The sequence below is a fragment of the Homo sapiens genome, chromosome 11 (genome assembly GCF_000001405.40).
Source record: "Homo sapiens chromosome 11, GRCh38.p14 Primary Assembly".
Taxonomy (NCBI): domain Eukaryota; kingdom Metazoa; phylum Chordata; class Mammalia; order Primates; family Hominidae; genus Homo; species Homo sapiens.
Window position 1 is genome coordinate 11,710,418 of NC_000011.10, and position 12,675 is coordinate 11,723,092.

The following is a 12,675-nucleotide window of genomic DNA, read 5'->3' on the forward strand; positions in this document are numbered from 1 at the left end:
TTGAAGCTGGGTGTATTATGTTCTAAATGTTTAATCTGGCAGAGGCCATAAAAGACGAGTTCCAGGCCATTTAGAGCTTATATTGCAAACAAGATGGTCCGGGAGGCAGCTAAAACTAAAAAAAACAACAACAACAAAAAAACAAAAAACCAGAATGGCACAGACAAATTTATCTGGTTCTGACATGGATGCAAGGCAGCAATTCAGGGTGAAAGGGGCTTCTTCGTTGACAGGAGAAAGGCAGTGATAAAAGCAAAATGGTCAGCCATCAGCTCTTGCTTTTTAATGTTTGGGAGGTTTCCCTGAGATTTCAGGCAAAATCAGCATGTCTAAGGCAGACGTGTTGAATCGTGGCACCAGATGGCCAAGAAAGGCAATGCTCCCCTCTAGATGTTAAGAGATTACCATTTAGTGTGTACCGCAGCCCAAGCCTAATGCACTGTGTGCCCAAGAGGGCAGATCCTCCCACCCTGAAGCCTGAAGCTGGAAATAAGCACATAACTAGTCCTAGCAAGGAATCCTCCTATTGAAAGCTTCCCAACAGAAGGAGAAAGCATAACACAGTAACCACTTAATGTTCAGGTTTAAGTGTTTAAAAAGGTATGGACTCAAATCCTAGGTTTTCTACCTACTGACTACATGCTTCTTTTCAACCTCCCAAGGTTTTCATTTATTCATCTATTCTATGCCGCATAGGAATAGAAGGATTACTGATCAAGCAGCATTATGGTGAGAATTAAATGAGATAATTTGTCACAGTCTCTGGCATGGAGTAAGTGTTCAATAACTGTTAGCTGTTATTATTGAGGTTCTCAGCATGCAAAAGAGCACGGACGCAGTACAGCAATATTTATTTATTTATTTATTTATTTATTTTATTTATTTATTTTTATTATACTTTAAGTTTTAGGATACATGTGCACAACATGCAGGTTCGTATACATCTGCCATGTTGGTGTACTGCACCCATTAACTCGTCATTTACAGTAGGTATATCTCCTAATGATATCCCTCCCCCTTTCCCCCACCCCACAACAGGCCCCAGTGTGTGATGTTCCCCTTCCTGTGTCCAAGTGTTCTCATTGTTCAATTCCCACCTATGAGTGAGAACATATGGTATTTGGTTTTTTGTATTTGCGATAGTTTGCTGAGAATGATGGATGGTTTCCAGCTTCATCCATGTCCCTACAAAGGACAGGAACTCATCATTTTTTATGGCTGCATAGTATTCCATGGTGTATATGTGTCACATTTTCTTAATCCAGTCTATCATTGTTGGACATTTGGGTTGGTTCCAAGTCTTTGCTATTGTGAATAGCGCTGCAGGAAACATACGTGTGCATTTGTCTTTATAGCAGCATGATTTATAATCCTTTGGGTATACACCCAGTAATGAGATGGCTGGGTCAAATGGTATTTCTAGTTCTAGATCCCTGAGGAATCGCCACACTGATTTCCACAATGGTTGAACTAGTTTACAGTCCCACCAACAGTGTAAAAGTGTTCCTATTTCTCCACATCCTCTCCAACACCTGTTGTTTCCTGACTTTTTAATGATTCCCATTCTAACTGGTGTGAGATGGTATCTCATTGTGGTTTTGATTTGCATTTCTCTGATGGCCAGTGATGATGAGCATTTTTTCATGTGTTTTTTGGCTGCATAAATGTCTTCTTTTGAGAAGTGTCTGTTCATATCCTTCGCCCACTTGTTGATGGGGTTGTTTGTTTTTTTTTTGTAAATTTGTTTGAGTTCATTGTAGATTCTGGATATTAGCCCTTTGTCAGATGAATAGGTTGCAAAAATTTTCTCCCATTTTGTAGGTTGCCTGTTTACTCTGATGGTAGTTTCTTTTGCTGTGCAGAAGCTCTTGAGTTTAATTAGATCCCATTTGTCAATTTTGGCTTTTGTTGCCATTGCTTTTGGTGTTTTAGTCATGAAGTCATTGCCCATGCCTATGTCCTGAATGGTATTGCCTAGGTTTTCTTCTAGGGTTTTTATGGTTTTAGGTCTAACATTTAAGTCTTTAATCCATCTTGAATTAATTTTTGTATAAGGTGTAAGGAAGGGATCCAGTTTCAGCTTTCTACATATGGCTAGCCAGTTTTCCCAGCACCATTTATTAAATAGGGAATCCTTTCCCCATTGCTTCTTTTTTTCAGGTTTGTCAAAGATCAGATAGTTGTAGATGTGTGGCATTATTTCTGAGGGCTCTGTTGTGTTCCATTGGTCTATATCTCTGTTTTGGTACCAGTACCATGCTGTTTTGGTTACTGTAGACTTGTAGTATAGTTTGAAGTCAGGTAGCGTGATGCCTCCAGCTTTGTTCTTTTGGCTTAGGATTGACTTGGCAACGCGGGCTCCTTTTTGGTTCCATATGAACTTTAAAGTAGTTTTTTCCAATTCTGTGAAGAAAGTCATTGGTAGCTTGATGGGGATGGCATCGAATCTACAAATTACCTCTGGCAGTATGGCCATTTTCACAATATTGATTCTTCCTATCCATGAGCATGGAATGTTCTTCCATTTGTTTGTATCCTCTTTTATTTCATTGAGCAGTGGTTTGTAGTTCTCCTTGAAGAGGTCCTTCACATCCCTTGTAAGTTGGATTCCAAGGTATTTTATTCTCTTTGAAGTAATTGTGAATGGGAGTTCACTCATGATTTGGCTCTCTGTTTGTCTGTTATTGGTGTATAAGAATGCTTGTGATTTTTGCACATTGATTTTGTATCCTGAGACTTTGCTGAAGTTGCTTATCAGCTTAAGGGGATTTTGGGCTGAGACGATGGGGTTTTCTAGATATACAATCATGTCATCTGCAAACAGGGACAATTTGACTTCCTCTTTTCCTAATTGAATACCCTTTATTTCCTTCTCCTGCCTGATTGCCCTGGCCAGAACTTCCAACACTATGTTGAATAGGAGTGGTGAGAGAGGGCGTCCCTGTCTTGTGCCAGTTTTCAAAGGGAACGCTTCCAGTTTTTGCCCATTCGGTATGATATTGGCTGTGGGTTTGTCATAGGCAGCTCTTATTATTTTGAGATATGTCCCATCAATACCTAATTTATTGAGAGTTTTTAGCATGAAGTGCTGTTGAATTTTGTCAAAGGCCTTTTCTGCATCTATTGAGATAATCATGTGGTTTTTGTTGCTGGTTCTGCTTACATGCTGGATTACGTTTATTTATTTGTGTATGTTGAACCAGCCTTGCATCCCAGGGATAAAGCCCACTTGATCATCATGGATAAGCTTTTTGATGTGTTGCTGGATTCAGTTTGCCAGTATTTTATTGAGCATTTTTGCATTGATGTTCATCAGGGATATTGGTCTAAAATTCTCTTTTTTTGTTGTGTCTCTGCCAAGCTTTGGTATCAGGATGATGTTGGCCTCATAAAATGAGTTAGGGAGGATTCCCCATTTTTCTATTGATTGGAATACTTTCAGAAGGAATGGTACCAGCTCCTCCTTGTACCTGTAGTAGAACTCGGCTGTGAATCCATCTGGTCCTGCACTTTTTTTGGTTGGTAAGCTATTAATTATTGCCTCAATTTCAAAGCCTGTTATTGGTCTATTCAGAGATCCAACTTCTTCCTGGTTTAGTCTTGGGAGGGTGTATGTGACCAGGAATTTATCCATTTCTTCTAGATTTTCTAGTTTATTTGCGTAGAGGTGTTTATAGTATTCTCTGATGGTAGTTTGTATTTCTGTGGGATTGGTGGTGATATCCCCTTTATCATTTTTTATTGCATCTATTTGATTCTTCCCTCTTTTCTTCTTTATTAGTCTTGCTAGTGGTCTATCTATTTTGTTGATCTTTTCAAAAAACCAGCTCCTGGATTCATTGATTTTTTGAAGGGTTTTTTGTGTCTCTATCTCCTTCAATTCTGCTCTGATCTTAGTTATTTCTTGCCTTCTGCCAGCTTTTGAATGTGTTTGCTCTCACTTCTCTAGTTCTTTTAATTGTGATGTTAGGGTGTCAATTTTAGATCTTTCCTGCTTTCTCTTGTAGGCATTTAGTGCTATAAATTTCCCTCTACACACTGCTTTAAATATGTCCCAGAGATTCTGGTATGTTGTGTCTTTGTTCTCGTTGGTTTCAAAGAACATCTTTATTTCTGCCTTCATTTCGTTATGTACCCAGTAGTCATTCAGGAGCAGGTTGTTCAGTTTCCATGTAGTTGATCGGTTTTGAGTGAGTTTCTTAATCCTGAGTTCTAGTTTGATTGCACTGTGGTCTGAGAGACAGTTTGTTATAATTTCTGTTCTTTTACATTTACTGAGGAGTGCTTTACTTCCAACTATGTGGTCAATTTTGGAATAAGTGCAGTGTGGTGCTGAGAAGAATGTATATTCTGTTGATTTGGGGTGGAGAGTTCTGTAGATGTCTATTAAGTCCACTTGGTGCAGAGCTGAGTTCAATTCCTCGATATCCTTGTTAACTTTCTGTCTCATTGATCTGTCTAATGTTGACAGTGGGGTGTTAAAGTCTCCCATTATTATTGTGTGGGAGTCTAAGTCTCTTTGTATGTCTCTAAGGACTTGCTTTATGAATCTGGGTGCTCCTGTATTGGGTGCATATATATTTAGGATAGTTAGCTCTTATTGTTGAATTGATCTCTTTATCATTATGTAATGGCCTTGTCTCTTTTGATCTTTTTTGTCTTAAAGTCAGTTTTATCAGAGACTAGGATTGCAACCCCTGCCTTTTTTTGTTTTCCATTTGCTTGGTAGATCTTCCTCCATCCCTTTATTTTGAGCCTATGTGTGTCTCTGCATGTGAGATGGGTTTCCTGAATACAGCACACTGATGGGTCTTGACTCTTTATCCAATTTGCCAGTCTGTGTCTTTTAATTGGGGAATTTAGCCCATTTACATTTAAGTTTAATATTGTTATGTGTCAGTTTGATCCTGTCATTATGATGTTAGCTGGTTATTTTGCTCATTAGTTGATGCAGTTTCTTCCTAGCCTCGATGGTCTTTACAATTTGGAATGTTTTTGCAGTGGCTGGTACCAGTTGTTCCTTTCCATGTTTAGTGCTTCCTTCAGGAGCTCTTGTAGGGCAGACCTGGTGGTGACACAGTCTCTCCGTATTTGCTTGTCTGTAAAGTATTTTATTTCTCCTTCACTTATGAAGGTTAGTTTGGCTGGATATGAAATTCTGGGTTGAAAATTCTTTTCTTTAAGAATGTTGAATATTGGCCCCCACTCTCTTCTGGCTTGTAGAGTTTCTGCGGAGAGATCAGCTGTTTGTCTGATGGGCTTCCTTTTGTGGATAACCTGACCTTTCTCTCTGGCTGCCCTTAACATTTTTTCCTTCATTTCAACTTTGGTGAATCTGACAATTGTGTGTCTTGGAGCTGCTCTTCTTGAGGAGTATCTTTGTGGCGTTCTTCGTATTTCCTGAATTTGAATGTTGGCCTGTCTTGCTAGATTGGGGAAGTTCTCCTTAATAATATCCTGCAGAGTGTTTTCCAACTTGGTTCCATTCTCCCCGTCACTTTCAGGTACACCAATCAGACATAGATTTGGTCTTTTCACATAGTCCCATACTTCTTGCAGGCTTTGTTCGTTTCTTTTTATTCTTTTTTCTCTAAACTTCTCTTCTCACTTCACTTCATTCATTTGATTTTCCATCACTGATACCCTTTCTTCCAGATGATCACATCGGCTACTGAAGCTTGTGCATTTGTCATGTAGTTCTCCTGCCATGGTTTTCAGTTCCATCAGGTCCTTTAAGGACTTCTCTACACTAGTTATTCTAGTTAGCCATTCGTCTAATCTTTTTTCAAGGTTTTTAACTTATTTACCATGGGTTCAAACTTCCTCCTTTAGCTTGGAGAAGTTTGATCATCTGAAGCCTTCTTCTCTCAACTCGTCAAAGTCATTCTCTGTCCAGCTTTGTTCCATTGCTGGTGAGGAGCTGCGTTCCTTTGGAGGAGGAGAGGTGCTCTGATTTTTAGAATTTTCAGTTTTTCTGCTCTGTTTTTACCCCATCTTTGTGGTTTTATCTACTTTTGATCTTTGATGATGGTGAGGTACAGATGGGGTTTTGGTGTGGATGTCCTTTCTGTTTGTTAGTTTTCCTTCTAACAGTCAGGACCCTCAGCTGCAGGTCTGTTGGAGTTTGCCGGAGGTCCACTCCAGACCCTGTTTGCCTGGGTATCAGCAGCGGAGGCTGCAAAACAGCGAATATTGGTGAACAGCAAATGTTGCTGCCTGATCGTTCCTCTGGAAGTTTTGTCTCAGAGGGGTACCCAGCTGTGTGAGGTGTCAGTCTGCCCCTACTTTGGGGTGCCTCCCAGTTAGGCTACTCGGTGGTCCAGGACCCACTTGAGGAGGCAGTCTGTCCATTCTCAGATCTCAAGCTGCATGCTGGGAGAACCACTACTGTCTTCCAAGCTGTCAGACAAGGACATTTAAGTCTGCAGAGGTTTCTGCTGCCCTTTGTTTGGCTATGCCCTGCCCCCAAAGGTGGAGTCTATAGAGGCAGGCAGGTCTCCTTGAGCTATAGTGGGTGGGCTCCACCCAGTTCGAGCTTCCCGGCCGCTTCGTTTACCTGCTCAAGCCTCAGCAATGGTGGGCGCCCCTCCCCCAGCCTTGCTGCCGCCTTGCAGTTTGATCTCAAACTGCTGTGCTAGCAATGAGCGAGGCTCCATGGGCGTAGGACCCTCCAAGCCTTGCACGGGATATAATCTCCTGGTGTGCCATTTGCTAAGACCATCGGAAAAGCTCGTATTAGGGTGGGAGTGACCCAATTTTCAGGTGCCATCTGTCACCCCTTTCTTTGGCTAGGAAAGGGAATTCCCTGACCCCTTGCGATTCCCGGGTGAGGCAATGCCTCACCCTGCTTCGGCTCATGCTTGATGCACTGCACCCACTGTCCTGCACCCACTGTCCGGCACGCCCCAGTGAGATGAACCCAGTACCTCAATTAGAAATGCAGAAATCATCCGTCTTCTGCGTCACTCACGCTGGGAGCTATAGACTGGAGCTGTTCCTATTCAGCCATCTTGGAACTGCCCCAGTACACCAAAATTTAAATGCCAAGACATGTCATAACCTGTCCTCTCATTTCTGTATACCACAGGCATTACGTACATTCTTGGCAATGGATGGTTCTGGCATCTGTTGGTTACTATCAGGCCAAGGGAGTGGCATTAGGTGTGGCTTCAGAGCAAGGCAGAGCTTGAGCCATGAGGCAAGCTCACTGAAATGTACCCAGCGTTTATCAGATTGAACACTCTTTCTGGAAATATCCTCAGGAACAAGGACCATCACGGATTGCACCTTTACTACATACCAGGCACTGGGTCAAGTACCTCATGGTCATTCACACTGATTTCTCACAACTCTTGTGAACAAACTAGAGCATAGAGAAGGTAGGAAACTTGCCCACAGTCACACAGCAACCTTCCAAGAAGGCAGAAACCATGTTGGGTTTTTTTTCCCAAATTTGGATTTCTAAATCCAGTATTCTTTCTACTACATCACAGCTGTGCATTTATTTATAGAAACATAAATAAGATTGCAAAAGAAATGTTTAGCTTAAGAAAGCCAACAGTTTTAAAGAGTCTATAAAATTACTTTAATCTAACCCATCTGTCTACAGAAACTTACTGCATTAATTACGAATGTTGTTACCTGTTCACTTAACAGAGACAAATATGCATAATTGCTACTCACAAAGCTATGTAATGCCAATTGTTTGCATCACCTAGTTTTTCACTGAGAGACAACATTGTGTAGTAGAAAATATAGGAGCTTCGAAGTCAGAGAAATGGGTTCAAATCCTGGCTCTCCTGTGCACCAGCTCTGTTGTTTTGGACAAGCCATTTAACTTCACTGAACCTCAAATTCCTTATATAAAAAGCTGTTATTAACACCAATTTCTGGCTTATTGGAAAGATTAAATGAGGGAATGTATATAAGACACCTAGTACAGTGTCTGGTACCTAGCAGGTGCTAAATAATAGAAAGCTATCACTATTCCTAGGAAATAACCTCACTTCTTAAAAATATCCTCCAATTCAAATATTACTGATGAGCAAGTTCCGCTAAATACAGAAATCTGATAAGCCAGCAAGTCCACTTTCAGGAATCCAGCCTACAGAAACATTCACTTCTACAGACAAAGTTATAAGTGTGTACAATAATATTAATTACAGAATTGTTCATAATATTGGATAACGGAAAACAACTTACATATTCATCAAAAGAAGAATGGCTAAAGAAATTATGATTTATCCATATCAGGGCAAACTTTTTCTCTAAAGAGCCAGAGAGTAAATATTTTAAGGCTTTGTGGGCCATATGGTCTATGTCGTAGCTACTCAGCTCTGCTGTTGTAGCACTAAATCAGCCACATACAACATACAAAAAAATGCATATGACTGCATCTCAAAAAAATTTTTTTTTTTTTACAGAAACAGATGGAGGACCAGATCTGACCTCAGGGTTTCACATATATGGCTGAATACGATGCAACCATTTTTTTAAAAATCAAGTACACCTATAGTATCTAGACAGAAAGATATCCACAAGCACTTCTACAAATCATAAGAAAAAGACAAACAATGTGGTAAAAATTGGGGAAGGAATATGAACAAGCCACTCATAAAAGAGGAAATTCACATAAGCAGTTTGAAAAGTTGCTCATCTGTCTAATTGATAAACTTTCCAAAAGCAAACTAAAACAAAAAGATCCTATTTTCATTCATCATATCTGCAAAAACCAAAACACTGACAGAATCAAGTGTTGAGGATACTGTAGAGGAAAAAATACACTTATACACTGTTGGAAGAAATATAAATGAAGACAATCACTTCAGAAGGTTCTTTGGCAGAATCTATTAAACCTGCAAATGTGCTTATCCTGTGACCCAGCATTTCCTAGTCTAGATCCGTACCCAGGGAACCACTTTCACATGCATCCAAGAAGACTGGATAAGAAAGCTATCTGAAGCATTCAAATAGCAAGAAATTGAAAATGACCTAAAGGGACATCAATAATGGAATGGAAAAATATAATGTGGCAGAATGCAATTCAGTGACTAAGAGGACTAAACCAAATCTCTGTTCATAAGTGTAGTTAGATCTCAGAAATACAATGCCAAGTTTTAGAACAATTCTTATAGTATGATACAATGTATGTAAGAACATAGACATAAAAAATAAACAATGCTATCCATTTATTATGGGTGCATGTGTGCAAAGTAAGGTCTGGAAGGATATGCGCTATATTCAAAGAGTAGTTATCTCAAAGCATAGGGAAGACCAGGATTAAAGGTGGTGGTCAAAGGGGACTTTAGCTTTACCTACAATATTCTAACTTTTAAAAAAAATTCATCTATATAACTAAAGTAAATTTAACAAAAAATGTGTTTCTGATATATTATGTAAGCTTCAAAATGACATAATTATATTTATTTTATTTTTAAAATTATTATATGTTTTTTACACACACATGTATGTGTGAGCACATGCACATGTATACTTGTGTCTGGAAGGGTAAATACCAAATAGTTAATAGGATTGCTTGGTCATGGATTGGAATTGAGGGCTAGGAAAGGAGACTTTGCCTTTGTATTATGAGGAAGTATGGTATGGGAGCCCTGCTGGAGCTGAACCAGCTAGGTTCCAATGCCCCCTGTGTCACTTCAGAGCTGCATAGCCATGGGAAAGTCAACCTCCGTTTTCTCCTCTGAAAAATTGGGATATATAATATGGTACTTACTAAGTGCCAGGCACTCTTATAAGTATTTTAGATATATTACCTCATTTCATCCTCACTTCAGCCCTATGAGGTAAGATCATATCCCTATTTTAGAAATGAGGAAACTGAGATACAGAGAGATTAAGTGACTTGCCAAGGTCACCATACCTGAAAGGGGCAGAGCTGGCTCCAGAAACCACAGTCTTACATCATTATCACTACTCTAAGTGTAAGTTCTTGCTATTTCACTTTATGTAACATGTTCAAATATATGTAAGTTTCAAAATCTTTGAATTTTATAACTTAGAATATATATTACATATGTGTGTATGTATATGTAGCATTAGTTTCCTATAGCTGCTATAATAAATTGCCACAAATTTAGGGCTTGAAACAATAAAACTTTATTTTCCACAGTTATGGAGCTCTAAAGGAATCTAAAGCCAAAGTGTTGTCAGGGCTGCATCCCTTCTGGAGGCTTTAAGACAGCATTCATTTCCTTGCTCTTTCCAGCTTCTAGAAGCTGCTTGCATTCCTTGGCTCCTGGTCCCTTCCTCTATCTTCAAAGCACAGTTTCCAACATCTAGTTCAGTCACTATTTTTTCTTTTTCTGACTCAGTCTGCTCCCATTTCTCTCTTGTAAGGGCCTTGTATTATGTTGGGCCTACCCAGATACTCCAGGATAATCTCTCTGTCTCAGGATCCTTAAATTAATCACATTTGCAAATTTCCTTTTTCCATGTAGGGTGACATAGTCACAGATTCCAGGGATTAGGATGTGCACATCTTTGGGGGCCATTGTTCTGTTTACCATGCATGCATGTGTGTGTATGTATGTATGTATATACATACACACCACATATATACAAACACATACTTTAAATATACTTTTTTTTTTTTGAGATGGAGTCTTACTCTGTTGCCCAGGCTGGAGTGCAGTGGTGCGTTCTTAGCTGACTGCAACCTCCACCTCCCGGGTTCAAGTGATTCTTCTGCCTCAGCCTCCTGAGTAGCTGAGACTACAGGTGCCTGTCACCACGCCCAGCTAATTGTTGTATTTTTAGTAGAGATGGGGTTTTGCCATGTTAGCCAGGCTGGTCTTGAACTACTGATCTCAGGTGATCTGCCTGCCTCAGCCTCCCAAACTGTGGGGATTACAGCCATGAGCCACTGTGCCTGGCCTACCTTAAACATCTAATGGAGGAAATTAGATATTGTCCTCTTCCATTTTCTGCTGCTTTGACAGAATATCACAGATCAGGGAATTTATAAAGAAAGGTGATTTATTTGGTTCATGGTTCTGGAGGCTGAGAAGTTCAAAGGCATAGCAACAGCATCTGCTCAGCCATCTGGTGAGGAACTTCTTGCTGCCTCATAACATGGTGGAAGGTCATCACATGGCAAGAAAATGTGCACATGAGACAGAGAGAGGAAATTGGGCCAAACTCATCCTTTTATCGGGGCACACTTCTGAGACAAGTAACCCACTCCTGTGATAACAGCATTAATCCATTTATGAGGGCAGACCCCTCATGACCTAATCACCTTTTAAAGGTCCCACCTTTTAATACGGTCACAATGGCAATTAAATTTCAATATATTTTGAAGGGGACATTCAAGCCATAGCAGATATATTAATCATGACACACATACAAAATGCATACTGATCAATAGTGCATTAGATGAAACTGTATTTCTATACATATATATATATTTTTTGAGACAGAGTCTTACTCTGTCACCTAGCCTGGAGTGCAGTGGCTAAATCACATCTCACCGTAGCCTTGATCTCCTGGTCTCAACCTCCCACCTCAGCTTTCCAAATAGCTGAGACTACAGGCATGTGCCACTGTACCCAGCTAATTTTTGTATTTTTTTGTAGAGACAGGGTCTCACCATTTTGCCCAGGCTGGTGTCAAACTCCTGGGCTCAAGTGATCCCCCACCTCAGCCTCCCAAAATGCTGGGATTATGGGCGTGAGCCACCCACCCAGCCTACTTATACTTTTTTTAATGGCAGGAATCTGAGCTTAAGAAAAAGGAATTGACTGAGCCTCCTGCCCAGAAGATAAGGGGTCCAGGGAGCAGGAGGTTCAGGTGTCATGCCTGCCCACATGGTTGGGAATTACTGATCTAGCCTGATACAGCAGGGTTAGAAAATAAGCAGGGGCTCCGTAGACCGGCAGGTCCCATGGGCCCCCCAGCACAGCACAGTAGATACTTGATTTAAAACTGCAGGATGACTTAAAGAGCACCCTCTCCATATTCCATTGGATCAGACAAACAGATCCAGAGAGAATCAATGGGCTGTTTGTCCAAACTAGCCCCAGGGCTAGGTTTATATCAGTTATAACATGGCTCTCTGACACCTCCTTTCTCAGGCTTTGGCAATGTCTCCTGAAATAGCTGTATTCTAACTAACTAAGCACTAAACCCCTGCTTCTAGAAAGAAGAGAGGCTTGCGATTTTCTTTTAAAAAAATCCTTGCATCTGGTGTTCAGCTGTAAGAGCCTCAATGGTGCCACTAAGTTGATTCTGTTTCTTCTTGAAAACACTCCCTACACAATTCCATGCATTTTAATTTCCAATCAGCTATGCTTTGTCAAGGTAACCGCAGTGCTTTGAGTGACAAGTCTCAGTGGCTGCTGTACTGTACGGACCTTCAATTACCTTCCAGCTGAGCCTGTTTCAAGAGACCATCTATAGTTCCCTCCCTTGCTGTGTTGCCTCGCCTGACCCAGCCCCTGTCATGTTTGAGCCCCACCAGGATAGTCCTCTGCTCACACTTTCCATCTCTGCCAGACCCTTTTCCACTAAAGAGATAGATATGGTCACGTGGTAGATATATGGTCAACTCAATCTATCACTCTAGCTGCACTGGGGCAGGTGAACCTAGGTCGCCACCAGAGGGCACAGGGGAAAGGTCAGGAGCCAGAGAAGCCAAATTCCCTGTATACCCTGCTG

The 12,675-nt window shown here is 40.7% G+C and overlaps 1 annotated feature.

Annotated features, from left to right (window-relative positions):
* Positions 6,366-7,565: an enhancer, noted in NCBI's record as "MED14-independent group 3 enhancer chr11:11738330-11739529 (GRCh37/hg19 assembly coordinates)". NCBI's record gives its function as "activates an origin of replication core promoter dependent on BRD2, BRD4, P300/CBP and CDK7 cofactors, and independent of MED14, by STARR-seq in HCT116 cells {active_cell/tissue: HCT116}" and the evidence as "EXISTENCE:reporter gene assay evidence [ECO:0000049][PMID:35650434]".